The sequence below is a fragment of the Homo sapiens genome, chromosome 21 (assembly GCF_000001405.40).
Source record: "Homo sapiens chromosome 21, GRCh38.p14 Primary Assembly".
Lineage (NCBI taxonomy): Eukaryota > Metazoa > Chordata > Mammalia > Primates > Hominidae > Homo > Homo sapiens.
Genome location: NC_000021.9, coordinates 43,718,566 through 43,744,477, shown reverse-complemented (window position 1 = coordinate 43,744,477; position 25,912 = coordinate 43,718,566). Strand labels below are relative to the sequence as shown.

At 58.2% G+C, this 25,912-nt stretch overlaps 1 protein-coding gene and 1 long non-coding RNA gene across 14 annotated transcripts in view, besides 16 other annotated features; both read right to left on the bottom strand.

Annotated features, from left to right (window-relative positions):
* PDXK (pyridoxal kinase) overlaps positions 1-25,349 on the bottom strand; it is a 43,171-nt gene extending 17,822 nt beyond the window's left edge. Inside the window, exons 1-5 of one of the 13 annotated variants that reach the window (XM_047441005.1) lie at positions 25,097-25,349; positions 10,355-10,409; positions 3,438-6,374; positions 2,707-2,811; positions 671-754 (exon numbers count right to left, since the gene is read on the bottom strand). In XM_047441005.1, coding sequence (XP_047296961.1) covers positions 671-754; positions 2,707-2,734 — 112 coding nt within the window. In that variant the 5' untranslated portion in view covers positions 2,735-2,811; positions 3,438-6,374; positions 10,355-10,409; positions 25,097-25,349. Of the gene's footprint in view, positions 1-670; positions 810-2,706; positions 2,813-2,905; positions 2,993-3,437; positions 6,375-10,354; positions 10,410-10,771; positions 10,901-11,137; positions 11,156-11,830; positions 12,340-13,093; positions 13,551-15,467; positions 15,579-24,584; positions 25,022-25,096 lie in introns of those variants that run through there. The other 12 variants (XM_047441004.1, XM_047441001.1, NM_003681.5 and 9 more) reach the window with 12 other exon arrangements.
* Positions 3,378-4,116: an enhancer, noted in NCBI's record as "H3K27ac-H3K4me1 hESC enhancer chr21:45160243-45160981 (GRCh37/hg19 assembly coordinates)". NCBI's record gives its function as "activates a minimal SCP1, AML or CMV promoter by ChIP-STARR-seq in naive H9 embryonic stem cells {active_cell/tissue: H9 hESC(naive)}" and the evidence as "EXISTENCE:reporter gene assay evidence [ECO:0000049][PMID:30033119]".
* Positions 4,117-4,855: an enhancer, noted in NCBI's record as "H3K27ac-H3K4me1 hESC enhancer chr21:45159504-45160242 (GRCh37/hg19 assembly coordinates)". NCBI's record gives its function as "activates a minimal SCP1, AML or CMV promoter by ChIP-STARR-seq in naive H9 embryonic stem cells {active_cell/tissue: H9 hESC(naive)}" and the evidence as "EXISTENCE:reporter gene assay evidence [ECO:0000049][PMID:30033119]".
* On the bottom strand, positions 6,381-7,478 carry LOC105372824 (uncharacterized). Its single transcript, XR_005647074.1, has one exon. It is a non-coding gene; the product is annotated as an uncharacterized LOC105372824 (long non-coding RNA).
* Positions 6,787-7,286: an enhancer, noted in NCBI's record as "H3K4me1 hESC enhancer chr21:45157073-45157572 (GRCh37/hg19 assembly coordinates)". NCBI's record gives its function as "activates a minimal SCP1, AML or CMV promoter by ChIP-STARR-seq in naive H9 embryonic stem cells {active_cell/tissue: H9 hESC(naive)}" and the evidence as "EXISTENCE:reporter gene assay evidence [ECO:0000049][PMID:30033119]".
* Positions 10,509-11,468: an enhancer, noted in NCBI's record as "H3K4me1 hESC enhancer chr21:45152891-45153850 (GRCh37/hg19 assembly coordinates)". NCBI's record gives its function as "activates a minimal SCP1, AML or CMV promoter by ChIP-STARR-seq in naive and primed H9 embryonic stem cells {active_cell/tissue: H9 hESC(naive and primed)}" and the evidence as "EXISTENCE:reporter gene assay evidence [ECO:0000049][PMID:30033119]".
* Positions 12,463-12,963: an enhancer, noted in NCBI's record as "H3K4me1 hESC enhancer chr21:45151396-45151896 (GRCh37/hg19 assembly coordinates)". NCBI's record gives its function as "activates a minimal SCP1, AML or CMV promoter by ChIP-STARR-seq in naive H9 embryonic stem cells {active_cell/tissue: H9 hESC(naive)}" and the evidence as "EXISTENCE:reporter gene assay evidence [ECO:0000049][PMID:30033119]".
* Positions 14,437-15,278: an enhancer, noted in NCBI's record as "H3K27ac-H3K4me1 hESC enhancer chr21:45149081-45149922 (GRCh37/hg19 assembly coordinates)". NCBI's record gives its function as "activates a minimal SCP1, AML or CMV promoter by ChIP-STARR-seq in naive H9 embryonic stem cells {active_cell/tissue: H9 hESC(naive)}" and the evidence as "EXISTENCE:reporter gene assay evidence [ECO:0000049][PMID:30033119]".
* Positions 15,279-16,120: an enhancer, noted in NCBI's record as "H3K27ac-H3K4me1 hESC enhancer chr21:45148239-45149080 (GRCh37/hg19 assembly coordinates)". NCBI's record gives its function as "activates a minimal SCP1, AML or CMV promoter by ChIP-STARR-seq in naive H9 embryonic stem cells {active_cell/tissue: H9 hESC(naive)}" and the evidence as "EXISTENCE:reporter gene assay evidence [ECO:0000049][PMID:30033119]".
* Positions 15,355-15,404: a silencer, noted in NCBI's record as "silent region_13367". NCBI's record gives its function as "represses an Ori minimal core promoter by ATAC-STARR-seq in GM12878 lymphoblastoid cells {active_cell/tissue: GM12878}" and the evidence as "EXISTENCE:reporter gene assay evidence [ECO:0000049][PMID:35858748]".
* Positions 15,644-16,068: a silencer, noted in NCBI's record as "fragment chr21:45148291-45148715 (GRCh37/hg19 assembly coordinates)". NCBI's record gives its function as "represses an EF-1alpha promoter that drives an FKBP-Casp9 reporter gene in an ReSE screen in HepG2 liver carcinoma cells {active_cell/tissue: HepG2}" and the evidence as "EXISTENCE:reporter gene assay evidence [ECO:0000049][PMID:32094911]".
* Positions 15,755-15,894: a silencer, noted in NCBI's record as "silent region_13366". NCBI's record gives its function as "represses an Ori minimal core promoter by ATAC-STARR-seq in GM12878 lymphoblastoid cells {active_cell/tissue: GM12878}" and the evidence as "EXISTENCE:reporter gene assay evidence [ECO:0000049][PMID:35858748]".
* Positions 16,963-17,804: an enhancer, noted in NCBI's record as "H3K27ac-H3K4me1 hESC enhancer chr21:45146555-45147396 (GRCh37/hg19 assembly coordinates)". NCBI's record gives its function as "activates a minimal SCP1, AML or CMV promoter by ChIP-STARR-seq in naive H9 embryonic stem cells {active_cell/tissue: H9 hESC(naive)}" and the evidence as "EXISTENCE:reporter gene assay evidence [ECO:0000049][PMID:30033119]".
* Positions 19,388-19,547: an enhancer, noted in NCBI's record as "active region_18547". NCBI's record gives its function as "activates an Ori minimal core promoter by ATAC-STARR-seq in GM12878 lymphoblastoid cells {active_cell/tissue: GM12878}" and the evidence as "EXISTENCE:reporter gene assay evidence [ECO:0000049][PMID:35858748]".
* Positions 23,747-24,656: an enhancer, noted in NCBI's record as "H3K27ac-H3K4me1 hESC enhancer chr21:45139703-45140612 (GRCh37/hg19 assembly coordinates)". NCBI's record gives its function as "activates a minimal SCP1, AML or CMV promoter by ChIP-STARR-seq in primed H9 embryonic stem cells {active_cell/tissue: H9 hESC(primed)}" and the evidence as "EXISTENCE:reporter gene assay evidence [ECO:0000049][PMID:30033119]".
* Positions 24,361-24,550: a silencer, noted in NCBI's record as "fragment chr21:45139809-45139998 (GRCh37/hg19 assembly coordinates)". NCBI's record gives its function as "represses an EF-1alpha promoter that drives an FKBP-Casp9 reporter gene in an ReSE screen in K562 erythroleukemia cells {active_cell/tissue: K562}" and the evidence as "EXISTENCE:reporter gene assay evidence [ECO:0000049][PMID:32094911]".
* Positions 24,708-25,017: a silencer, noted in NCBI's record as "silent region_13365". NCBI's record gives its function as "represses an Ori minimal core promoter by ATAC-STARR-seq in GM12878 lymphoblastoid cells {active_cell/tissue: GM12878}" and the evidence as "EXISTENCE:reporter gene assay evidence [ECO:0000049][PMID:35858748]".
* Positions 25,058-25,847: a silencer, noted in NCBI's record as "silent region_13364". NCBI's record gives its function as "represses an Ori minimal core promoter by ATAC-STARR-seq in GM12878 lymphoblastoid cells {active_cell/tissue: GM12878}" and the evidence as "EXISTENCE:reporter gene assay evidence [ECO:0000049][PMID:35858748]".

Sequence of the window (25,912 nt, the reverse complement as noted above, 5' to 3'; positions counted from 1 at the left end):
CACTCTCCTTTTGGGCAACAGTACACAGCGTGGCAAACCATGTGCTAGGCCAGGCCTGTCCTCCTGCCACCCGGGAGACCTGTGCCCCAGAGAGAGCCTGTCTGCAAGGTTTGGTGACGCTGCCCCTTCTGCCAGGCGTCAAGATGGATCCAGCACTGCCTGGCCTCTAACGAAAGACCGATCAAGGCAGATGCCCCAAAGACTTGGCCACTCCCTAGCGGGCCCAGCCTGGGTGTGACCCTCCCTCCCCCCACTCCCTAGCCTGGCCCTGCCTGGGTATGACCCTGCCCTCCCCCACTCCCTAGCCTGGCCCTGCCTGGGTGTGGCCCCTTGCCCCTTCCGCCTTTAGGGTGAGTGTAGTCACACAACAGTGCTGCCTGGGCCCCAGGCATTCACACAGCAGCCCCACTATACGAGCACACTGACACCCCTTCCTGTCTCACACCAGCCACACAAGACACCAGGGTCACCTGCAAACGCTTCTAGCCCAGCGGACTTCAGCAGGCCAACATCTTCAGAGGCCCAGCAGACACAATTCACTGGCCCGGAGAGGCGGGGCACGGAGGCGTGCAGAGGAGGAAGGAGGCTAAGACGTCCCTTCCCGGGCTCCCAGGCCAGCCCCACCCGTGTGGGGCCACACAGCCAGACCCGAGGGTGGGCCCCTGCCTACCGTACACCAGCCTGGGGTTCTGCTGCTTCAGCTCCTGCACAATGTCCACCACCATGGCCAGGAACGACTTGTCCCTCGTATAACCTTTAGGGGGAGAATCCAGGTCACCCTCAGAAAACAGGAGACTCACCACGATCAACTGTGGCACAAAGAAAGAGAAGCACCAGCAGACCCTGCAGAGGGGTGGCTGGGGAGGGAGGTGGGTGCAGGCGAGGTGTCCCCACAGTGCTCAGGGGCAGGGGGGAGGGAGGTGGGTGCAGGCGAGGTGTCCCCACAGTGCTCAGGGGCTGGGGGGAGGGAGGTGGGTGCAAGTGAGGTGTCCCCACAGTGCTCGGGGGCTGGGGGGAGGGAGGTGGGTGCAGGCGAGGTGTCCCCACAGTGCTGGGGGCGGGGGAGAGGGAGGTGGGTGCAGGCGGGGTGTCCCCACAGTGCTCGGGAGCTGGGGGGAAGGAGGTGGGTGCAGGCGAGGTGTCCCCACAGTGCTCGGGAGCTGGGGGGAAGGAGGTGGGTGCAGGCGAGGTGTCCCCACAGTGCTCGGGAGCTGGGGGGAGGGAGGTGGGTGCAGGCGAGGTGTCCCCACAGTGCTGGGGGCGGGGGGAGGGAGGTGGATGCAGGCGAGGTGTCCCCATAGTGCTCAGGAGCTGGGGGGAGGGAGGTGGGTGCAGGCGAGGTGTCCCCATAGTGCTCAGAGCGGGGGGAGGGAGGTGGGTGCAGGTGAGGTGTCCCCACAGTGCTCAGGAGCTGGGGGGAGGGAGGTGGGTGCAAACGAGGTGTCCTCACAGTTGAAAGACACGGAGGGCAGACCCGGCAGCATTTCTCAACAGAAACGCTGTGCTTCACAGGAATGAACCCACGGGCGAGAGGTGAAGGAGTGATCTTTCCTTTATTTATATTTCTACTTTCAGTAATAAGCATATGACACTTTAATCTTATTTATTTTGAGACAGGGTCTCATTCTGTCCCCTAGTCCAGAGTGCAGTGGTTCAACCATAGCTCACTGCAGCCTTGAACTCCCAGGCTCAAGCCATCCTCCCACCTGAGCTTCCCGAGTAGCTGGGACTGTGCCCAGCTAATTAATTTTTAAAAATTTTTTTGTAGAGACAAGGTCTCACTATGCCGCTCAGGCTGGTTTTGAACTCCTGGTCTCAAGCGAGCCTCCCTCCTAGTCTTCCCAAAGTGCTGGGATTACAGGTTCGAGCCCCTGTGCCTGGCCTTATATGTGACCTTTAGACATGTAGAGAGGCTGGGCGCAGTGGCTCACGCCTGTAATTCTAACACTTTGGGAGGCTAAGTGTTTCCCCTAACCATTTAAAAGTGTAGAAACCAGGCTGGCTGCAGTGGCTCACGCCTGTAATCCCAGCACTTTGGGAGGCTAGGGTGGGTGGCTGGCTTGAGCCTAGGAGTTCAAGACCAGCCTGGGCAACATGGCAAAACCCTGTCTCCACACACACCCACAAAAAGTTAGCTGGGCATGGTGGTGCACGCCTTTACTCCCAGCTACTTGGGATGTTGAGGCAGGAGGATCACCTGAGCCTGGGAGGTTGAGGCTGCAGTGAGCTATGATTGTGCCATTGCACTACAGCCTGGGCCACAGAGTGAGACCCTGTCTCAAAAATAATAATAATAATAAACATGTATACAAATACAATTTTTTTTTAACCAGAAAGTTGACAAAGGATGGCAGTGTACCAGGTAGCAGCCCGTCACCTAATTGAGTGTCCCACCCACCTGTCCTGCCCCGGTCAGCGTTCCCAACACCCTGCCTGCACCCTCCCCTGGGCACTGGAACCCCAGTGTGGTCACAGGAGTGGGGGTGACTTGGCACAGCCTGGGCAGTCATTGTCCCGGCAGGCATAGTGTGGCCAGGACCCCCCAGGCTACCGGGGGTGTGATGGTGGCTTGGGCACGCCAAGGCCCTCCTTGAAGGGGCAGGGACCCGAGACAGGCCCAGGGCGGGGGTGCTCTGGACCTCCCTGAGCCCACCCTGGCTGGAGTGGGGTGCGTAGTCCCCTGCGGCAGCTTGCTCCGGCACCTACCTGTGAGCACGTAGTCATATTTATTCATGTTGTTCAGCCTCAGGCCTTCGTACAACTCCTGGAGCTCATCTGAATTCAGCACTTGGCCCTTCCAGTGGGCATAGCCTAGAGGCAGAGGAAGCCATGGGGGCTCAGACACAAGGGGGCCAGCTGGGGCCGTGGGCTTCCCTTGACACCCGCCCACTCTCCCTGAGGCTGCCTGGTGGACGGCTCCTCCCCATGGACTGGCTCAAACCCGAAGGAGATCACTAGGCGCAGTGCTTGGCAGGTCCCAACGGCTGCCCACATGGGACGCCTCGAGCCCCCCGCGAGCCCCCCGCGAGCCCCCCCGCGAGCCCCCCGCGAGCCCCCCCGCGAGCCCCCCCGCGAGCCCCCCCGCGAGCCCCCCGCCAGCCCCCCGCCAGCCCCCCGCGAGCCCCCCCGCGAGCCCCCCCGCGAGCCCCCCGCGAGCCCCCCCGCGAGCCCCCCGCGAGCCCCCCCGCGAGCCCCCCCGCGAGCCCCCCCGCGAGCCCCCCGCGAGCCCCCCGCGAGCCCCCCCGCGAGCCCCCCGCGAGCCCCCCGCGAGCCCCCCCGCGAGCCCCCCCGCGAGCCCCCCGCGAGCCCCCCCGCGAGCCCCCCGCCCCTGCACTGTCAGGGATGGTTACTACGACCTCCGTGGCCCCCACACTCCCACTGCCAGTTCCTGCGGGAGCTGCGTCCCAGGTACAGGAGGAGCGTGGGGAGAGACACACCAGCTCACGGCTGCGTTGCTCCCCCATTGCTGTCCGGAAGGCCCCTGGCTACTCCCTCCGCACAACGTCACAGTCTCTTGTTTCCCAGCGTCTCCTGCATTAGTCCCCAGCTATTCAGGCCGGGGTGCTCGGCCACCGGCCACTGTCACCCGGATACCCTGGCAGGTAGGGCTTGTTATGTCCCCACCCCCAACTCCTCCCCAACAAGCTTATTAAGGTGCAATTAGAGCCTGTCTTAGATCAACTCCTGAGCAAGAGATAGATGTGAATGAGAAAGAGGCCTCAGCCCAGGTGTATACAACCTGCCCTTGGCCCGATGGGTAGCCAGGGTGAAGTGTCCGTCCCAGGCAGACAGGCATATCAATGTGTGAGGACAGACGCGTCGGCTTCCTGCAGGCGGGACCACCAGCCTCCTGGGAGCCCTTCCTGCACTGCGGAACCTGACCACAGCTCCAGCTCAAAGCACTGCTCAGGGGGCAGCCATCCACACAGGGTGGGGGTCCACCATGGATACCCCACATTCGCCCATGAGAAACGCCTCACATCGAGGGGCTCCCGGCCTCCTCCCACATGAATCACCCCTCTAATGCATGCCTTTTTCAGCAAATAAGGAAAACTGATGTATGGGTTCCTAGAATAGCAAAGTACAAGTATCACGCACTTGTGGGTCACGGCCGGCTCTGCGCCCACGCGCCATGCCCTGTGGCTAAGATCCCCTGAATTCCCACACCAGAGGAGGGCTCCATGGCTCCTGCCCCTGAGGGCCCTCCTGCGTACCAGTCGCTGGCTCCCGCTGGAAGGGACGCCTTTGGCTTTCCCCAGCAGCCGTCGCACGGGAGGACGTGTGGCGCAAAGGTCCTGAGACTGCCATCAGGAGCCACGCTCCAGGCACAGTGCGGCATCTGGGGGGTGCACCTGGGGGCGCCTGCCCTGTACTCTGCCCGGGACACCAGAGTGTACGCACTGAGGGGTGGGTCTGCCAGAGACCAAGCCCCTGATGGACTCTGGGTTAACAGTCACTGGGGTCAGGAGGGGCAGGTGGTATCCACTGCGGGCGAGGTCAGTGCCTCACACAGCAGCCTGCCCCTCCGGTGGAGGGTGTGTCCTGAGGAGGCTTCTGCCAGGCTGGGGCGGGGTTTGGGGTAAGGGGTAGGAGGAGGGAGGTGAGCAATGGTCCCTCCTGGTCCTTTCTGCCCTCGGATTTTGATATCTTTCCAGGCAGGGTGGGACTCACCACTGCTGCACATGTGCTCCTTTCCTGGGGAGGTGACATGGCCTGGCTGTGTCCCCACCCAAATCTCATCTTGAATTGCAGTTCCCATAATCCCTACATGTTGTGGGAGGGACCTGGCAGGAGGTCATTCAATCATGGGGGTGGTTCCCCCATCTTGTTCTCATGATAGTGACTGAGTTCTCACAAAAGCTGATGGTTTCAAGGGGCTTTTAAAACCCTGGGCCCCTCAGTCTGCACTTCTCCTTCCTGCCGCCAATGTGAAGGAGGTGTTTGTTTCCCCTTCTGCCATAACTGTAAGTTTCCTGAGGCCTCCCCAGCTCTGCTGAACTGTGAGTCCATTAAACCTTTTTCCTTTACAAATGACCCAGTCTCAGGTATGTCTTTATTAGTGTTGGGGACCAGCCTCAACACCACCCATGGTGTATCCAACGTCCGGTAGTGACAAAGGAATGAGAAGAGACAGGTTAAGAGTTCATAAAGGTGGGGCCGGGTGCGGTGGCTCACGCCTGTAATCCCAGCAGTTTGGGAGGCTCAGGCAGGCAGATCACCTGAGGTCGGGAGTTCGAGACCAGCCTGGCCAACGTGGCAAAACCTCATCTCTACTAAAAAATACAAAAATTAGCTGGGCGTGGTGTGTGAGGTCAGGAGATCGAGACCAACCTGGTGAACACTGTGAAACCCCGTCCCTACTAAAAATACAAAAAAATTAGCCGGGCGTGGTTGCGGGTGCCTGTAGTCCCAGCTACTTGGGAGGCTAAGGCAGGAGAATGGCATGAACCCAGGGGGTGGAGCTTGCAGTGAGTGGAGATCGCGCCACTGCACTCCAGCCTGGGCAACAGAGTGAGACTCCGTCTCCAAAAAAAAAAAAAAAGAAAAAGAAAAGAGTTCATAAAGGTAGGAGCCAGGGGGCCAGTGGCAAAATGGAGGCTGCAAAAGGCACTGAGCTCTGGTCTCCACGCTATTTATTGAGTACAGTCACTTAGATCTGAGAAGCAGATATTCAGGGCGAAACAGTGAAAGGGAGGCAGTGCGTCACAGGCGTAATCTACAGCAATAGCGGTTTCAATGAATCTCCTTTGTGCTCAAACAGCGTATCTTTAACTTATCGGACAGGAGCTGGTGGGAGCGGGCTTAACCAGGAGCTCGTGTGTCTGTCCACAGTCCAGTGCTTCGAAGGAATGTCTTTCTCCTTGAACACGGTGTTTACAGATAAGACAGCAGGTCTCGCCCTGAGCATGCGAACATGATGGCAATTAGGAGGCTTTCCTCCTCAGAGGCCTCTTGTGGCTTTCCACAACTTATTGTCCCATATTTTCATGGCCAGTTTATACAGGCATTCCACAAGCCCTTTTCCCAACAATTAGCAGTGTGAGAACGGACTAATACAGGGTGCCATCGGGAAGGACTGCAGCCAGGCGGCTCCAATTCTCCTACTGTCCTGGGCACGGGGGTCCAAGGTCCAGGTGTCACCAGGGCTGGTTCCTGAGGCCTCTGCCCTGGGCTTGCAGACGGCATTGCCTCCCTGTTTCCTCATGGGGCTGTCCCTCTGTGTGTGTCTGTGTCCTCATCTCTTCTTCTTACAAGGACACCAAGCAGCTTGGATCAGGGCCCACCCAGAGCCCTGATGGCCTCTTTTAACCTGCTGACCTCTGTAGGGGCTCCATCTCCAAACCCAGTCCCACACTGAGGTGCTGGGGTTAAGGCTGCAACATGAGAATTTGGGGGGACGTAATTCAGCCATAACAGCCATGAGGAAGGGGAGACGTCCAGCACTTGGCCGGGTCTCAGACACAGGCCCCAGGCCCCTCTGAGGCCCAGCTTCCTATCGAAACAGAGGGCATGGTCTTGCACCTCTTGGTGGCCTCCTGCCCACTGTGGGATGTGGGATGGGCCCAGAGCCCACAAGAACCTTCTCCAACAGGGGAGGGCGCTTGGATCTTGTGTCCAACTCATTCCATTTACAGATGAAAAAGCACAGGCAAACAAGCGGTTCCTCGGGCGGCCCAAGGAGCCTGGCACTCCTGTCAGATCCCAGCCGGCCAGGGAGTCTGGCCCGGCCTGGCCCCTCGCTGGTGTCCGTCGGCAGGCTCCTGGCCCGGCCTGGCCCCTCGCTGGTGTCCGTCGGCAGGCTCCTGGCCCTGGCCTTCTCCAGCCCCGCAGCTCCTTGTGTTCACACCAGCTGCCCCTTCCCTGCAGCAGGGACCACCAAGCCCAGCAGCAGGGCACCTGTCCCATCCCCTCTGGCTCTACACTCCGAAAGCCAGGACAGCGCAACCCGTCCACCCGCTGACCTCCAGCTCCGCAGGCTCCTTCCCAGTGCCCTCAGTCCGGGAAGCTCAGACAGGGAGCTCCAGGAAATCCTCTCAAAGGGGCCACTGGGAATACTGGCCACAAGGTGGAGGCTCTGCCAAGCCCAGCTCACGGTGTGGAAAAATGAACGCACCTTGTGGTACGGCCTCAAGGAACGGGGGCCTGGCCGGGGGAAGGGGCAGAAGTGCGAGCAGCAGCCTCGAGGCGGCGAGGCCTGCGCCAGGTGGGCTCTGCAGGCACTTGGGGGATCGGCTTTCCCACCCCCCAGCCTGAAGGGCGTCAGGGAACCAACAACGCAGCTTGTGTGGAACACCCGTGTCCCTGCCGGGAGTCTGGCTTTGTGGCCCATCCCAGGCAGAAGCTGCCCACGTGACCACCCCAGTAACAACCCTGGGCAGGAGGTGGGCGTGCTGGTGCACAACTATAGTCCCAGCCACTCGGGAGGTGGAGGCAGAAAGATTGCTTCAGCCCAGGAGGTCAAGGCTGCAGTGAGCTGGTTGCGCCACTTCACGCCAGCCTGGGCGACAGAGACCGACCTTGTCTCTAAAAAAGAAAAAAGAAAAGACTGGGCGTGGAGTCTCACACCTGTAATCCCAGCACTTTGGGAGGCTGAGGGGGCAGGATCGCTTGAGCCCAAGGAGTTCAAGACCACCTTGGGCAACATAGTGAGACTCCGTCTCTATGAAAAATAGCAAAATTAGCTCGGTGTGGTGGTGCACACCTGTAGACCCAGCCACTTAAGAGGGTGAGGTGGGAGGATCTCTTGAGCTCAGGAAGTCAAGGCTGCAGTGAGTCATGACCGCAGGACTGCACTCCAGCCTGAATGACAGAGGGAGACCTTGTCTCACAAAAAAAAAAAAAAAAAAACAGAAAAAGGAAAAGGAAAACCCTGGGCAGAGTCGCGAATGAGCTCCCTGGCAGCATCATCCCAGCTCCCTGCCAAATCAGGCGCAGCCTGTGCAACCCCACCTTCAACTCCTAGGTGCTCACTGGAGAACTGAGACAAACGTTCATGGCAGCATGACCCCAACAGCCAAAAAGTGGAAACGGCCCGAGTGTCCGCACGGCTGCTTGTGGCTGGGCTCACGTGGCCGGTCACACAGGGCGTGAGCTGGTCCTGGGCACGCACGATGGGCCACGCAGCAGGAGGAACATGACAACGTGGCCCCTGAGACAGCCCGGGGAGCGCAGCCCTGGAACAAGGGTGCCCGGAGCAGAACAGCCCCTACAATGCGGGAGGCCCGTCGTGCATGCAGACATCTTTCTTTGTGCATAATCAGGACCAGTAAAATGCTTCCTGGAGGTGAGTTTGGTGAAAAATAAGCACCTCTAGCCCTTAGACAGAGGGTAGGGGGAACAAAAAGGAAAAACAACAACAAAAAAACTCAAAAAACAAAAAGCGCCTCCAGCTCTGTCAAGGTCTGCAGAACAGACAGTGTCATCGTGGGCACCGCACTCACAGTGGGTGGCACGGGAGCCCAGAGGGGCTGAGGGGCTGCACGGAGGAGGCCGAGTCCCCCGTCTTGACCACCAGCTCCCGTGGCACCCAGGGCAGGTACACGATGCACCAGCCTCACTCCCCAGCAGCACAGTGTGGCAGGGGCGAGGGAAGGGGAGCAGGCAGAAGGGCCCCGGTGCAGGGGAGAGTGACACCTGCCCTCACTGCCCTAGGGAGTTGCCCCTGAGCCACAGAGACAGCCTTAGGGAAGCTACCCGGGGGCCTCCTGATCAGGCCGCACAGACAGCTGACCCCGAGAGTGTGGGTACAGGGGGCTGGGAGCCAGCCCACAGCCATAGACTGAGCTGGCTAAGGGGTCCTAAACCAGCAGGCCCCCCATGGCATCTGGAGGAGGCTGGAGTGGGGGCTCCCAGGAACCACAGGCTGGACCCCATGGGAAGGGACACCCCCAGGCTGTCTGCCTGGCTCTGCAACTGTGGAGGCTCCCAAGCGCCTGGGGTCCTGTCCTCATCCCAGTCCCCTGAGGGCAGACCAGAGACCCCTTTTCTATCTCTGGGCCCTCGGGTCAGCCAGCCCACCACCCACTGAGAAGCTTCCACCAAGCCTGGAAGGCATTGCCAAAGCCCGGGGCCCTCCCGCAACCTGGAATCCATGCAAGGGCAGCCGGGTCGGTGTGGATGTTGAACCAGCACTGACGGAGCCCAACACAGTCCCCAGAAACACACTCAACACCCTGCTTTAGTGTCCAAGCCGGCCAGCTCACTCACTGAAAAATAAATCCTAAAGGAGGATGGCGAGAGCAGCCAGGAAGGACATGTGGGTTCAGGGAGGCTCCTGGAGGGCCTGAGTCTTCGGGGACGTCTCCAAATCTCACAGCACCCAGTGTGCCCCGCAAGCAAAGGCAGGAAAGGGTTTCAGCGAGAGCTGGAGCTTGTCCATCTGCACCGCCAAGAGCTGGAGCCTGTCCGTCTGCACCGGCCAAGCAACTCTTTCCTCTCACTTAGCACGTGTCATGCCCACCTCAAAAGAAACCACAGCATTCCTTCCCACTCCCAAGAGTAGGGGCCAGGCCCCTCCTCCCTGCTCCAACATATCGCACTGATGCTCTGCCAGGCTGTTTCTGGGACGTTCTGTGCTCCCAAGGTTCCGCCTGGGTTCAGAGAAATTTCAGGGGAAGCGAGGTGGGGTTTCAAAGAACAGAACAGCTTTGTTCTCCTGCCGACGAAGCAGTATAGAAACCACAGAGAGGAGGGGGGACTCCACGCACCTCCACCCCCAGGCCATGGGGCTGGGGGCATGGAAAGCATGGCCTGTGAGGGGCTTCTGAGGCCGGCCACCCTCAGTCCCCTGAGCCAGCAAAGTCCTCAGAGTCCCAGGGCAGGGAGACAGAGGCACACACGGGGCCCTGCAGCACTGCTGTTAACAGAGAAAACCCAGAACCACCTACACATCCCCCAGCACGACCACCCCATGGGGGACCCTCCTCAGCTCCAGGAGGCAGGTGGACAGCAGGAGTCACACGGCTGCGCTCTGAGCCAGGCATTGGTCCAAGCATTTTATGCAAGTGACGTAATCAACTCTGGCAACCTCACGGCAGGTGTTAGGATTGCCCTCCTGTCTTACAGAGAAGGAAACTGAAGCACCGAGAGGTTCTGCCACCTGCACTGGGTCACACAGCCTCAAAGCAGCCAAGCTGAGTCAACACAACCCCTCTCAGAGGCGAGGCCACCCAGGCCTACACCCTGATATGCTGTGCAGGCTCTGCCCGAGCGACGCCCAGGACTCCAGGTCCCCGTCCACACGAAAGCCCCGTCCCTCACACCCACACTCCGCCCCGTCCCTCACACCCACACTCCGCCCCGTCCCTCACACCCACAGTCTGCTCTATGCCAGCTGCTGGAGCCAACGCCTTACCTGTGTGGTTTGAAAACTGGACAGAGTTCACCGCGTCAATCTCAAATCCCAAAACCTGCAAGACAGAGAAGGAACAGGTAGGCGTAAGAGAGCCAGGTCTGGGGTCCCACGAACCCCAGCAGGTGCTGACTCAGAAGAGGGGAGTAAATGAGTCCCGGCTGGCACGGGGCCCCCAGCTGCAGGCTGGAGGGCTGACGCATCAGAGCAGGAGGCTCTCCCCGAGTCACACATGACATGTGCACAGGCAGGGCCTTGTGTGTCTGGAGCTGGGCTTCCCTCTCTGGGGAGCAACCAGCCCGGGAGGGCATCGCCCAGCCCACAGGACCTCCATGGGGAAGCACTTCACGCATCATTCCAGAAATCGCACCCAGCGAAAGCACTCAATAAGACTAACAAACAATAAAACGAAGGCAATACCCATCTGTCCACACACTGAACAGAGGCTGGGAGGCTGTCTCTGCTGTGAAAATGTGGGCGTCTACCCCACCCCTTGGAAGAAGTCAGGCCAAGGGCTCCGCGGGCAGCACACATGCCTCAAAAGCCTGAGTGAGAGTCAGGGAGTGGGTGTGTGAGGACAGAGAGGGAGGGAGAGGGTGAGGGTTCCAGACAGATGGAGAGGAAGGACGGAATCCACGGAGTGGGGGCCTCCTTCCTGTATCTCCCAGGGCCAAGCCCGGCCTCCGCTAGTTTGGGGGGCCATCCCCACCCTCTCCCGTGCACCAGCAATGCCCCAAACCCTCTCTCCCTGCTGCATCTGAACAGCCAACCACCCCTGAGTCCCACCTTCAAGTTCAAAGCCAGGCAGTGCCACCTCTGCTGTCAACACCAGGACAGCGGCTGTTTCCAGGGCGGGGGGGGCGGGGGGGGGGGTGGGGATGGGGAGGGGCTTCCGGGGCTTCCCACATTTGTTTCTTCACTGGGTGGGCTTTGCTTTGTGATGATGAGTTGAGCTATCTGCTTACGATTTGTATTTGCCAAGGCTTTTCTTTGAAGCCGGTATTATCACTGAACTAATGAAACACGTTAGCAGTCTTACTAATCTAAAAAGTTAAAGTTAGCACTTTAACTTTTTTTGCGGCCAGGTGCAGTGGCTCATGCCTGTAATCCCAGCACTTTAGGAGGCCGAGGTAGGAGTACAGTTTGAGGCCAGGAGTTCAAGACCAGCCTGGGCAACATGGCAAAAACCCTGTCTCTACAAAAAATACAGAAATTAGCCGGGCGTGGTGGCACATGTCTGTAGTCCCAGCTACTCGGGAGGCTGAGGTGGGAGGATCACTGAGCCCAGGAGGTGGAGGCTGCAGTGAGCCCTGATGGCACCACTGCACTCTAGCCTGGGTGACGGAGTGAGAATATGTCTCAAAAAACATAAAAATAAAAATAAAAAATAAAATGGGCACTTTGCAAATGTACCAGCCCGAATCCACAGCCTCTATACACAGATAGCTTGCAGTATTTCAAATCCTTTAAAATTCTAACCGACTGTGAAGAAACAGATATTAAGCAACGATGACACAAATCCTGAAAATCCTGCCAAAATATTCTGCTCCACTGCTTCTGGGTGTGTAGATAATTAATCCTTTGGGGCTGGCAAACGTATCCGAGAATGAAGTCGCTATTTTCTGCTTTTAAATGAGAGCACGAGCAAGCTGAGCCCCTGGGCTGGCATCTCCGTTTCACACACCCCATCAAAATCAGCTTATTCATCAGCATCGCAAGCTGGTCTGGACGCTTCCAGAGTCTACCCATCCAACTTCATGTGCCAGACAAAGCCAGACTCAGAAGACGACAATGCACGGGGGGCGGGGTGCCAAGGTCCAGGACGGGAGCCTGGGACCCCAGAGAAAGGTATCTCCTGCTGTTACACATGTCCTTCAGCTGGAAGCCAGCGCTCTGTGCCGGACCATGCCTCTGGAATTGGCATCTCTGTACAGCAGTGGCTCCCTCCCAGGCACCACCAGGAGGTACCAAGAATGTGAAACTGAAGCCTGCGAAGAGAATGGGCTTCTGTCAGCAGTGCTCTTCTTCCCCCGGGGCTCTTCTCCCCACAGGGGCAGCGGTAGTGACCGTCCCTTCCCATAGCAGCAGCGGAATCCACTTTGTGGCTTTCCCTCCACCAGCAGAATTCCTCATCGCATGCCCCCACAGACTCCCAGCACCCGCCAGCTGGCAGACACCTGCCTTCCCAGCTCCAGGTTCTAAAGAGTCCAACAATTCTCTTATCCCAGGGTCAGCTGTGTGGAGCCAATGCTGGCAGGGGTCTCCTCCACGACACCAGTGTTCCCTTTTTGCCTTCTCTATTTTCTCAATACCTGGCTGAACAACGGCCTCTACGATTGTTGCTCTGGTTTCTGTTTCTGGACTGGACCCTGCCTGATACACCTCATCTTTCCCCACCCACAAGGGAGCCAAGGACAGACTGGTTCTTGGTCCAAGGTTCAGCCCAGCGGGCTGCTGGGCTCTCCACAACACTCACCTCCCACCCGGAGCTCCTCCACTGCCTTCACAGGAATCGCCTTCAACAAAGACAGGCCAGGTGCCCTGTGAGCAGCCCTGCTGACTGATGGGATCAGCTTGGGCCCCTTTAGGAACAGCATTACTGGTCTGTGTATGTGAATCACCTTGTTTTACAGTAAACCCTGTCCCTATAATGGCCTATGGGGCTCTTCCGTGGCAGAATTCTAAGAATGACCTTCAGGGACCCCGCTCACCCTCGGGCAACCCCCTGAGTGTGGGTGAAACCTGTCAGTGTGATGAGATCTCTCTCCCATGAGGATCTTCTTATCCAGGAGAGTTTAATTGAATGACATGAGCCCTTCAAAAGCAGAGTTTTCTCAGGCTGAAGGGCAGAAGGAAAAATCAGAGATTGGAAGTTAAAAGAAGGACTCAACGACTGTTGCTGGCTTTGAAGATGGATTGGGCCACGCGATTGCCAGATGCAATAGTGCAGGTCAGTTTTACGTAGAGTCATTATTAAAAACTGAGTCATATGGCCAGGCACAGTGGCTCACACCTGTGATCGCAGCACTTTGGGAGGCTGAGGCTGGAGGATTGATCACTTAAGCCCAGGAGTTCAAGACCAGACTGAGCAACATAGCAAGATTCCATCTCTATTTAAAAAAAAAATTGAGTCATAAAACTTACAATTATGTAAATTATATTATTATTTTTTGAGACAGGGTCTCACTCTATCACCCAGGCTGGAGTGCAGTGGCACAATCATAGCTCACTACAGCCTTGAACTCCTGGGATCAAGGGATCCACCCTCTTCAGCCTCCTGAGTAGCTAGGACTACAGGTGCGTGCTGCCACACCTGGCTAATTTTTATATTTTTTTGTTGAGACAGAGTCTCACTATGTTGTCCAGGCTAGTCCTGAACTCCTAAGCTCAATCAATTCTCCTCCCTTAGCCTCCCAAAGTGCTGGGACTACAGGTATGAGCCACTGCACCCAGACTACATAAACTATATTAAAAGTAAACATAATATATATTGTAGCCTCACCACTTCCTAGTTTACTAGCATTTTACACTATCTGTTGTCTACTCAGCTATTTGTGTCTATTGTGTCTGGAGGGAAGAACGCTACATGACAGAGGCTGCTGCACAGCTCTTTCCTGCTCAGGTTGGTAGTTTACGTTCAGCTATAGTGGAAGTATTCACACCACGGAGCTTGGCAGTACATACTCTAAATCAGATATGAGGGCTGGGCACAGTGGCTCACGCCTGTAATCCCAGCACTTTGGGAGGCCGAGGTGGGAGGATCACCTGAGGTCAGGAGTTCGAGACCAGCCTGGACAACATGGCAAAACCCCGTCTCTACTAAAAATACAAAAATTGGCCGGGTGTAGTGGCTCGTGCCTGTAGTCCCAGCTACTCAGGAGGCTAAGGCAGGAGAATCACTTGAACCTGGGAGGCGGAGGTTGCAGTGAGCCAAGACTGCAACTAGCCTGGGTGACAGAGAGAGACTCTGCCTCAAAAAAATTCAAATCAAACCAAATCAATCAATCAATCAATCAATCAATCAGATATGAGCAAGACTCTCTGATGTCCATACCTGCTGTGACGGTCCACTGAGGCCTGTGGACTATCACCTCATCCCCCTTCTCGGGATGGTCTTATTAGGCCGCCGTGCTACCATTTTTTGTTTTTTGTTTTTTTTGTTTTGTTTTGGTTTTCTTTTTTTGAGACAGGATCTCATGCTGTTGCCCAGGCTGGAGTCCAGCGGCACAATCTCAGCTCGCTGCAACCTCTCCCTCCTGGGCTCAATTGATTCTCCTGCCTTAGCCTCCTGAGTAGCTGGGACTACAGGCATGTGTCACCATGCCTGGTTAATTTTTTATGTTTTATTTTTTGTGGAGAAATATTGCCTATATTGCCCAGGCTGGTCTTGAACTCCGGGGCTCAAGCGATCCTCCCACCTCAGCCTCCCAAAGTGGTGCAATAACAAGGCGTGAGCCATCGTGCTCGGCCCGTGCTACTGTTCTGCTCCTAGCTCCCCTCATGTGCATTCCCCACCCGCACCTCCAGACGTACCCCTCTAAACCCAGCCCTTGAGCGTCTGCTGCGCCCACAGGATGCAGCTCAGACTCCCGGAGCGTCCCACTCCCACGGCTGATGCCCCTGGCTGCTGGGTCGCCCACCACTCTGTGAACTCCTCACTGGGCTGCAGAACCCCGGGCACCTTCTGAATCCTGTAAAGCTCTGAAACCCCTGTGCCTGGCCAACTCCCCTCTCTCAGCTCAGACCGTCCTTCTTTCGGCCTCCAAGACCCTGCTGCAACCGTGCCTACGGAGCCCCCGCGACAGCACGCGAAGAACGAGGGTTCTTCAGGACTGGGGCTCTCTGCCGGCCCTGGCCAAAGCCCCCGGCCTCTGACAAACCCACTGCTGCCACAGGACAGCCTGGCTGTCTCCGCTGGGAAGTCTGAAGGACAAGCTCCTGCTCAGCCTCTACCGCAAGGTGTAACTCCGTAAACAAGCGCCAAGCACCCAGCGGAGCCGGGGTGGGAAGAGCCGCGGAGGCCGCAGCCAGGGGGCAGGATTGCGGGCGGGCGGGTGCGGGGTGGGGGGCTGGGCTTTGCCCCGCTCATCCGTGTGACGTATTGGGGCTCCCCCACCTGCAGGCGTGCGCCCCGTCTCCTGCCGAGAGAGAAAGCCAGTCAGATGGCTACACTCTGCCCTGGGGGGTCAAAATAATCCCAGCAGAGTCCAGGCCAGTGGGATGGCTTAGAAAGGGTCGCAACTTCCTCCTGGGAACTTCCTGCGGGGGCCGCAGCGGAAGTGCTTTCAACCTCATCAGTCATCCGGCTGGACCGCAGGAGCTCTCCGACTCCCTTCCCCCTGCCGCCCGCGACACAAGCTCATCCCCTGCCCAGGCGCAGCCCGCAGTCCTCCTCCCTCGGCCGGTGGTGTGAGCAGCCCTCCTCCTGCCCACGTGCGGGAGTGGCTGCCTCGGGCTCCTCCCAGGGCCCACGTGCGCGCCTTATCGGCAGCATCCCACTCTGCTCACAGCGAGGCAGACAGGCAGACAGCCAGACACTACGTGAGCGCGGCGGCTCAGCTGATCCTCCTCCTCCTCCGGGGAGGCAGGGTGACTCAGAACGGCAGGAGTGGGGGAAGCTCTGGAACATTCCAGGGGAGCTCCTCCACCCCAGCCTGACCACCCTAGTTCCAGGCGTTCCAGGGGAGAGCAGGGTGAGCGCTGCACAGAAGCCGAAGCCACCCACCCAGCAGAACCCTCCCTTTAGCTTATTTTGCAGAGACCTCTGACCACTTTAGGAAACCAGAATGAGGAAAGAGGACAGGAGAGATCATGTGACTGCTTCACCCTGATCAACCTGGGGCACAAGCACCCCGCGTCCCTCCCACCGCCTGCCACTGGTCAGCCCTATGATCCACATCAACCATGTCCTTTGTCCTACAAACTCCCAGGGGGAACTTCTGGTGGAAATGGCCCCGAGCCCCCCAGAGCAGTCTCCCCTCATCCCTGACCCACCCCTGCCTCAGCCTTCACAGCTCCAGGGTCCATCGCCTGGGCCCCCAGCCCTGCTCAGAGCACATGGACACCCAGCTCCCTACTTCCAGGCTCACAGTGCCGCAGAGGGACCGTGCACCAGCTGGGCAGGGGCTGCCAGGTGCTGGGCTCACTGCAAAGTGCTAAGGGAAGGCAGAGGTCATGGCTGGCTCAGAAGTGCCCAGATGGCCAGACAGCTGGGGGCTGAGTCCAGGGATTGCCAAAGCAGCATTCCTGACCCAATATGGGCTCCCTGGTGTGACCTCGGGCCCCGTCCACCCCCACAGCGTGCAGCAAAAATGCCACCTTATTCTAGCTCCAGAGTCTGCTCCACAGGGCCTCACACCCGCTGCACCCTCCTCCTGGATGCTGTTCCTCCCTGTGCCCCGGCTGGCAGAGCTCCACCTAGTGCTGGCTCCCTCCCACCCCTTGGAACTCGCTCCCATGCACAGCAACTGGCCCTTGGGGTCAGCCAAACCTGTGTGCACTGCACAGCTTCCTCGTTTAGCTGTCCTAGGGTGACCACATTCCCAGAGGCTTGGTGACTGTCACAGGTAAGGAGATGGGACAAGAGGCTAAGCAGGCTAGCCACCTGCTTCAGGAATGGGGAAAGCTGCCGGAGGAGTGGCCAAGGACAGGGACAGGGGCTGGCAGGCTTGTCTTGGCCACAGAACCCTTTAAAACAGAGGCCCCATGCAGAGCCGGGGAATAGATGGGCACAAGGCGGCTGCTCTGTGGGCAGGAAGGGAGGCGCTGCCGGCCCCTCCTCGGCTGATTGCACGGTTTTTTGCTCAGCCCATCTTTGACAACTCCTTTCTTCCTTTCTCCTTGAGAAGTTCCCTCTGTTCTTATTCCTCAGCGTCACTCACTCTGTGAACTGGGCACGCAGGATTCCATTTCAAAAGCTCTGTGTGGGTGTGCACCCGCAGACACCAAGGCCAACAAGCCACAATGCCAATCAGCAGCCCCTGTGTCCCCGAAGCTGCCCGTTCTGCGGATCCGCCCCTCCCTTTCCAGGGAATGCCAGTCACACCAAGCCTCCTAGGAAGGAAGTCACTTACAGGAAAGACGGGGGGGCCGGCCAACACTGGGGCCTGCAGAGCAACACACCGCATACACACACATGCATGCCCATGACACACGCATGCATGCCCAGACATGTGCACACACGCCATGCACACATGCCCCATACACATGCATCCCACATGCACACATGCATGCCATGTACACACAAGCACACCCACATACACACACACCATGTACACACATGCACACCCACATACACACACAGTGTACACAAACACACCACGTACACACATGCACACCCACATACACACACACACATGCACCGATGTGGGCTAGAGCCAGAGGCAAGAGGGAAAAATAGATCAGAAAATGGGACCAATAGGCTGGGTGCAGTGGCTCATGCCTGTAATCCCAACACTTTGGGAGGCTGAGGTGGGTGGATTGCCTGAGGTCAGGAGTTCAAGACCAGCCTGGCCAACATGGTGAAACCCCGTCTCTACCAAAATACAAAAATTGGCCGGGCGCGGTGGCTCAGCCGTAATCCCAGCACTTTGGAAGGCCGAGGCGGGCAGATCCCGAGGTCAGGATATCGAGACCATCCTGGCTAACATGGTGAAACCCTGTCTCTACTAAAAATACAGAAAAATTTGCCTGGTGTGGTGGCGGGCGCCTGTAGTCCCAGCTACCTGGGAGGCTGAGGCAGGAGAATGGCGTGAACCTGGGAGGAGGAGGAGGCTGCAGTGAGCCAAGATCACGCCACTGCACTCCAGCCTGGGTGACAGAGTGAGACTCCGTCTCAAAAAAAAAAAAAAAAAAAAGAAAAAGAAAAAATGGAAAACGGGACCGATAAGTTCTTGTTTTTCTCCATGACAGCCAAACAAGAATAACAGAAACCTCAGTCCCAAACTAAGGGAGTCAGAAAAGCAAAAAACTAGCCAATTTTCTTCCTTCTTGGAGAAAGATGAAAGAAAAAGAAGAAATACCAGAAACAACACCTGTTTCCTGGATTGGGACACATTCTGGCTCAGACCCAGGGACTGGCAGAGGCCAGAGAGAGAGAGAGAGAGAGAGAGAGAATCCCAGCTAGACGGGAGGAAAGCCAGCTGCCCAGCATGGCCTGGAGAGCACGTGGGAACGTTCCGAGGACACTCAGAAGCGTCTCCAACATACAGCATCAGCATCACCTCTAAGGAAGTTAGTGCGGGCCACCGGAGGAAGGAAGGAGGCACACTTTTCACCACTGGCTCTTTTTCCTTTCCTTTTCTTTTTTTTTTGTTTTGAGCCTGAGTCTTGCTCTGTTGCAGGGGCTGGAGTGCAGTGGTGCAATCTTGGCTCACTGCAACCTCCACTTCCTGGGTTTAAGCAATCTCCTTCCTCACCCTCCTGAGTAGCTGGGATTACAGTAGTGTGCCACCACGCCCGGCTAATTTTTTGTATTTTTAGTAGAGATGGAGCTTCACCATGTTGGCCAGGCTGGTCTCGAACTCCTGACCTCAGGTGATCCACCCACCTCAGCCTCCCAAAGTGCTGGGATTATAGGCGTGAGCCACCGTGCCTGGCCCAGCGCTGGCTTTTTTGTACTGTTTGCAAATGCATGTCACCTTGAAAAATGTTAAGGCAAAAATGATGTCTTTTAAAAGGCAGGGTGGTATTCTTCCAGGATCTTATAGTGCAGTTCTGAAGGCAAAGAAGACTCTTTCTATCCTAGGAATTCTAAGAAAAAATGTAAAGATTTTTCAAAACACCAGGTGTTTTGTTTTGTTTTGAGACGAGAGTCTTGCTCTGTCGCCCGTGCTGGAGTGCAGTGGCGCGATCTCGGCTCACTGCAAGCTCCGCCTCCTGGGTTCACACCATTCTCCTGCCTCAGCCTCCCAAGCAGCTGAGACTACAGTCGCCCACCACCACGCCTGGCTAATTTTTTGTAATTTTAGTAGAGACGGGGTTTTACCGTGTTAGCCAGACTGGTCTCGATCTCCTGATCTTGTGATCCGCCTGCCTCAGCCTCCCAAAGTGCTGGGATTACAGGCGTGAGCCACTGCACCCAGCCAACACCAGGTGTTTTAACCATTTCCCCAAGAGAACCCTCCAGTGATGCCACATCTCTGAAGAAGAGGCCACTTTGCAGAGCAGGGGATTTTTTTTTTTTAAAAACAGGGTCTACCTAGTGCATCGGTATTCTCTGTCAACTTTCTGGTTAAAAATACATTGTACTTCCATACATGTTTATTTTTTACTTTTTTTTTTTTTTGAGACAGGGTCTCACTCTGTCACCCAGGCTGGAGTGCAGTGGCACCATCACAGGTCACTGCATCCTCCACCTCCTGGGATCAGGTGATCCTCCCACTTCACCTTCCCAAGTAGGTGGGACTACAGATGTGAGTCACATAGCCAGCTTTTTTTTTTTTTTCTTGTAGAGCTGGAGTCTTGCTATGTTGCCCACGGTGGTCTCAAACTCCCAGGCTCAAGTGATCCCCCCATCTCGGCCTCCTAAAGTACTGGGATTATAGGTGTGAGCCACCGCACCTGGGCTTGGGGATGCTTAAATATTTGAGGATAGAAATCAGCTCCTGACTTGAGGGCCCTCAAGCAACCCCCTGGGGACCCCGTCACGCGTCTCTGGGAGCCCGGGGTTACTCGCTGCTCGCGTCCACATGCTGCTCAAGTGCTGAGGTCCCAAAGCTCTGCAGCTTCTGCTCCTGTCCGGAGAAGCGGGGCCCAGTAAGCAGGTGGGACCCTCGGCCTCTGCCACAGCTACTTTTGCCAATGTCACAGCAGGTAGGAGTCAGGTGCTGACATCCAGGGTTCCAGGGCAGGGAGCCCCCTGCCTCTTCCTGTGGGGCGCTTGAGCCACAGTCCACCTGCCTAACGGGCATGGCATTGAGGCCCCTAGACAGAGAAATACAACCTCCGCCAAGCCCCCTCAGGTGTCTCAGGTCTGCTCCGCACCGACGGACCACGAGAATGAAAGAATGCGGCTGCCTGCAGGCCCCAGATGGAGCCAGCCACCTCACAGGGTCTTCTGGTGGGGGCTGCAGGGAGTCCCATGGTCTTGCCTTCTGGTCTCTGCGATGTGGTATTTAAATGGGTCTCGAGCTAAGGCCCCAAGTGAGATTCTCAAAGCCATGGAATCCAATCATGGAATGTCTGATGTCCACAACCTCCTCCCTAGGAGCGGCCCTGTGAAAGCGCACCTGCACTGTGGTCCTGCAGCACGGAGGTCACATGTGTCCCAGGCGGCAGTGCCTGGCACCCAGCCTCGGCGGCTCCAGAGGCTGACAGATGAAGGACACGGATATCACCCAGCCAGCGGGAATCTACTACCTGTCCATCTGGACGGGATGCACAGTGACAGGACAGGCTTGCCTCTCCCCACAGGGCAGCTACTGGCCTCAGACGTGCTTGGGACAATCTCTGCACAGCCCAGTTTGGAGACTCACAGCTGTGCTGCTCCCCTCACTTCCAAAAAGGACGTCTTGACGTCATCAACTTCTGGGCCTTTAATTCACCCCTTGGTTTATGCCACTTTCAAATTTCTCTGAAGGCTCCTTCCAGATTGAATGCTGGACCCTCGAAGGATATGTTTAACTGAAACCTGTGAAGGGGACTCTATTTGGAAAAAGGATCTTTGGGCCGGGCACGGTGGCTCACGCCTGTAATCCCAGCACTTTGGGAGGCCGAGGCAGGCAGATCACCTGAGGTCAGGAGCTCAAGACCAGCCTGGCCAACATAGTGAAACCCCATCTCTACTAAACAGAAATACAGAAAAATTAGTCAGGTGTGGTGGTGCATACTTGTAATCCCAGCTACTCAGGAGGCTGAGGCAGGAGAATTGCTTGTACCTGGAAGGGGGAGGTTGCAGTGAGCCTAGATCGCTCCATTGTACTTCAGCCTGAGCGACAGAGTGAGACCCTCGTCTCAAAAAAAAAAAAAAGAAAGAAAAAGAAAAAGAAGGCCAGGCGTGGTGGCCCCATGCCTGTAATCCCAGTACTTTGGGAGGCCGAGGTGGGCGGATCACGAGGTCAGGAGATTGAGACCATCCTGGCTAACACGGTGAAACCCCGTCTCTACTAAAAATACAAAAAAATTAGCCAGGCGTGGTGGCGGGCGCCTGTGGTCCCAGCTACTCAGGAGGCTAAGGCAGGAGAATGGCATGAACCCGGGAGGCAGAGCTTGCAGTGAGCCGAGATCGCGCCACTGCACTTCTGCCTGGGCAACACAGCAAGACTCCGTCTCAAAAAAAAGAAAGAAAGAAAAAGTATCTTTGCAGATGTAAGATTCCAAGATGAGATCATGCCAGATTATCCAGGTGGGCCTGAATCCCATGTTAAGTGGACTTTTAAGAGAGCACACTGGGCGGAGGCCACGTGAGGACAGAGACAGAGACTGGAGTGATTCGGCCGTGAGCCCCAGAAGCCTGGGGCCACCGAGAGCTGGAAGAGGCCGGGAAGGACCCTTGTATGGAGGGAGCATGGCCCTGCCCACACCCTGGTCTCAGACTTCTGGCCCCCAGACTATGAGAGGTGAATTTCTGCTACAATGAGCAACCTGGTTTGTGGTACTTTGTTTTGGCAGTCCGGGCAAACTCCTACATGACCCTAAGGCTGCATATGGTATTTTCAATCCAGCAAACTCATACATAACCCTACAGCTGTGTACCTTAGGGTTACGGAAGCAATAGAGCAAAAGGGGTTGGGAGGCTGCCCTGAGGGCCCCAGGATCTCCCCCATGCAGTGAGGCCTACAGAAACATGTGAGCTGCTGAACTGATAGCCAGGAAGGCTTTCCACACATACACACCTGGGGCTCCAAAGAGCCAAACCTCCCAGCCCTGGAAGAACCTGAGGTTTCCTACACCCAAGAGGAAACAGTCCTAGCAATGTGGAAGGGCAGATGGCCGCAGCCACTAGTTCCCTCCACTCCTTCCTGTCTAGAATCCAAGCCAGAGCAGCGGGGAAGTGCCCCACCCCAGGGTGCATCCCATGGCCTGTCTTGGGCAGGTCTGTGCTTGACTTGGGCAGCCCCCCCAGCTCCTCTCCTCCATGCACCCCCAAACCTCAAGCCTGCCCTTGCCCTCTGCGTTCTATCTGCAAACCCCAATCATGCTGCCTGACACACTGCACCTCCTGCCAGTACTGGTCATGCCAACATGTTCCCTCCTTTAGTTCCCCACCACTAATATGTACCTTAGGCTTAGGCCCAGAAACAAAATCCAAACACAGGCTCAAGGTTTTGCTCTGCCCAGGGAGGGTGGCTGCCTCTGACAGGACCTGGCAGAAAACAGCTGGGGAGAACAGCTCTGAAGCCCAGACGTGCAGATGGTCCAGTCGCAACAAATCTGTGCTACACTCACAAGGAATCAGTGGGAGCTCCCTGGCAATAGGTGTACCCTGAGCCTGGCATGAAGGGCACAAGGAGCCCTGGTGCTATCTTGCAAACAGGTATTGTGCCTAGTTTGCAGGTGAGACTCCGGAAGGCTCAGAAACCAGGGCCAGGTCCCTCAGCTGGAATTCCAAGATGTGGAGACACCTGCTTTGAGGTGGGACCCCCAGACACCTGGGTCAGTCCCCATAAGGCGCCTCTCCAGCCGCCCTGCTACATGCCACACCCCTGAGGCATTCTCCAGTCTCATTCCAAGTAGCCTTGAGGCAAATCTCTGGGGCCCAGCCAGAGGCTATGTTCTGCCAGTTTCTAAGTTTTCTTTCCTCACATTCAGCTATGTGAACAAGGCTTTGGAGTCCTAAGCCACATGTGATGATCAAAATCAAGAACAAACTCTTGCAAGAGCAGCTCTAGACTTTGGGGACACGTCCCCTTGGAACTGCAGCTAGAAGCGGCAAACACTGGCCCCAAGGCCATTTCCAGGCTCTGTCCCCCATTCCCTCCTGTGCCCACTAAGGCTGGTCCAGGCTCGCTGGGTCTCCAGCCATCTCAGCCCCTCGGTCATCACATTGCTTCTCCTTGTCCAGCCGGGCTTGGACATCGGGGTATGGGAGCAAAATGCCTGCATGGAACCCTGTGGAGCCCACAGGTAAGGATGCCGTGCACTGGGGAGACCCGAGGTAGGAACAGCAGCGCCATCCTTTCGAGGCTCCACCTGAGGTGAGCAATCAGAGGACACCCCTCGAGTCACTGGGAGTTCGAGAACAAAGGACATTGCTGGGGGATCCCGAGTGAGCCAAAGAAGGAAACAGTTTGCCCAATGAAGTAGGAGGTGGATGGGAGGAGGGACGGGACAGACACAGCAGGACCTGCACACTTCTGCCAAGAGAGTGGACGCTGTCCTCAGAGCCCCCTGGTTCCACACTGCCTGGCTGCCCCTGCTTCAGGCACCCTGCACCTTTCTTCCCAAGCCCAATCCTACCTCTGACTCTGCCCAAGCAATCCGCCAGCCTGTGGTGACCTCCCCCAACCCCCTCAAGCTAGGAGTGGTCCAGAGCAGTGCTTAAGAGCCGGAGCCACAGAACCGGTGCACCCTGACTGTCCCAGGCAGGGTCTGCCTGCAGCTGGATGGAACAGGGTCTCAAGTAAGACCACCTGTGAAGCACCGCATCCTTCCCAACAGGACCTCCACTTACTTCGGACTCGAACCCCCTGCCTTTCCACGCTCAACTCTGCTCAGCTTGGTCCTCCTGGGGGCACGCCTAGGTCAGCCCTCAAATTCCACTGAAGCTCTGCTCCCCTCTTCCTGTCCTCCTCCCAGGCCAGCCCGCACCGCAGGCCCCGCCGTGCCCAGGTGGCCCTTCTTTACATCCCGTGGGGCCCAGCACAGGGACCAGGCATACCTGCTCCCGTCCCCAGTGACCAGGCCGCAGGTGGGCAGCACAGGAGAGCACGACCCGGCAGGGCACCCCCAGCCCTCCTGCTGACTCGACAAGGCCAGGAAGTGCCCGTCGTCCTGGTTCTGCCTCGGCCCTGCGTGACACCCACGCCACTGCACCCAGGCCTCTCCTACCCCTCCACGGGCCACTTAGCTGCAACCAGGAGGCCGTGGGCCAACGCGTTTTAAAAGCTGGCTCCCTAAAGCCAATCCGCACAGTCCCGAACTGCTCTCTGGGGCTTCTCCTCGTCAGAGCAAACACCTGCAGGGATGCCGCTCTGCTAGAGGGTGCAGAGCAGCCCCTGCCCCACCCTCTTCCCTTCGGCCACCTCCTGGCGTGGTCAGGCCGAGGGGAATCCACCCTCGTGGGCACCGTGACCTCACTCGGCGTCTTCTTCCTGACTTCCCCACGCACAGGGGCCCAGGAGGTGAGCGCGCGAGCGTCTCGAGCTCCACGGCCGCTTCTGCGTTCCAGCGGGGCAAGGTCCCGGCTCGCGTGACTGCTCCGGGACTCCTCGGGGCTCTGCGACATTTCCTCGCCTCCGGGAGCCGCACCGCCCGCCCGCCCCCGCGGCAGTTGGCCCGGTCGGCGGGAAGGGGCGAGGACGAGCGGCTGCGCCATAGCTGGTGCACAGGGCTCCCTCCTACCCGCGTACCCCGACGCCGGACCCGTCCCACCCGCAGGGGCCCGCAGAGCGCTCAGCCCTCCGCTTCCGCCCCCGCAAGCCAAGCAGAGCGGGAGGCTCATCCCGCGCCTGCCTCCAGGGCGCCCGCGCCAGGCTCTGCCCGCAGCTCCCGAGCCTCCCTCGGGGAACTGAGGCTCGTCTCGGGCAGCCCCGCCAAGGTCACGGGCTCGGGTTACGTAAGCCCGGGCTGCGGGCGGATGCGTACCTGCAGCGGGAACGTGGCCGCCCGGTTGCCCACGTAGCCGCGGATGACGTGGCTCTGTATGGAGAGCACCCGGCACTCCTCCTCCATGCCGGGCCTGGCCGCGGCGGCGCGGGGCCGAGGCGGGGGCACGGTCTCCGCCGCTCGCTCGGGCTCCGGCTCGGCTCGGGCTCGGGCTCCGGCCCCGGCTCCCCTCGGCTGCGACTCTGGCTCTGGCGCGCGGCGGACCCGATCAGCGCAGACGCCTCCTTCTGACCTCAGCGGGCGGCTCCGAACCCGCGAGTTCCGCGCGGCGCCGGGGGCTGGCCGGGGGCGGACCGGGGCGGGGACAGCCACGCAGGCCCCGCCCCCGGGCTGGGAGGAAGCGAAACCGGACCCTGGCCGCGCGGCCGCGCCAGGTGGCCCCCGCCACTCTGCCGCCCGAAACGCTGGGTTTGCACTTTCATTCCGCCTGGAGAGGGCTCTGCAGCGCCGTTCATTCGTTCGTTCATTCATTCATTCAACCATTGTGCTCCGCCTCAGCCCTGCGCCCCGCGCCCCGCGCCCCGCGCCCCGCCGCACGCAGGGGAGACTCGGGGGCCCGGGCTCCACGCCCCTGACCTCCGGGCGCGACACTCTCGCAACGCGGATGGCCACGAGAGTGCGCGCGGGCGTGGGAATAGTGCGGAGGCGCGAAAGTGACCCCGGACCCCGGATACCCAAGGGAACCGCGCTCTCAACTGCCTGCAGGGCCCGGAGCCCGCATCCGATCCGCGTCCCTTCCCAGGGGCCGCGCGGGAGCTGACAGACACGGGGCCGGGGGGACCCAGTCAACTCCGC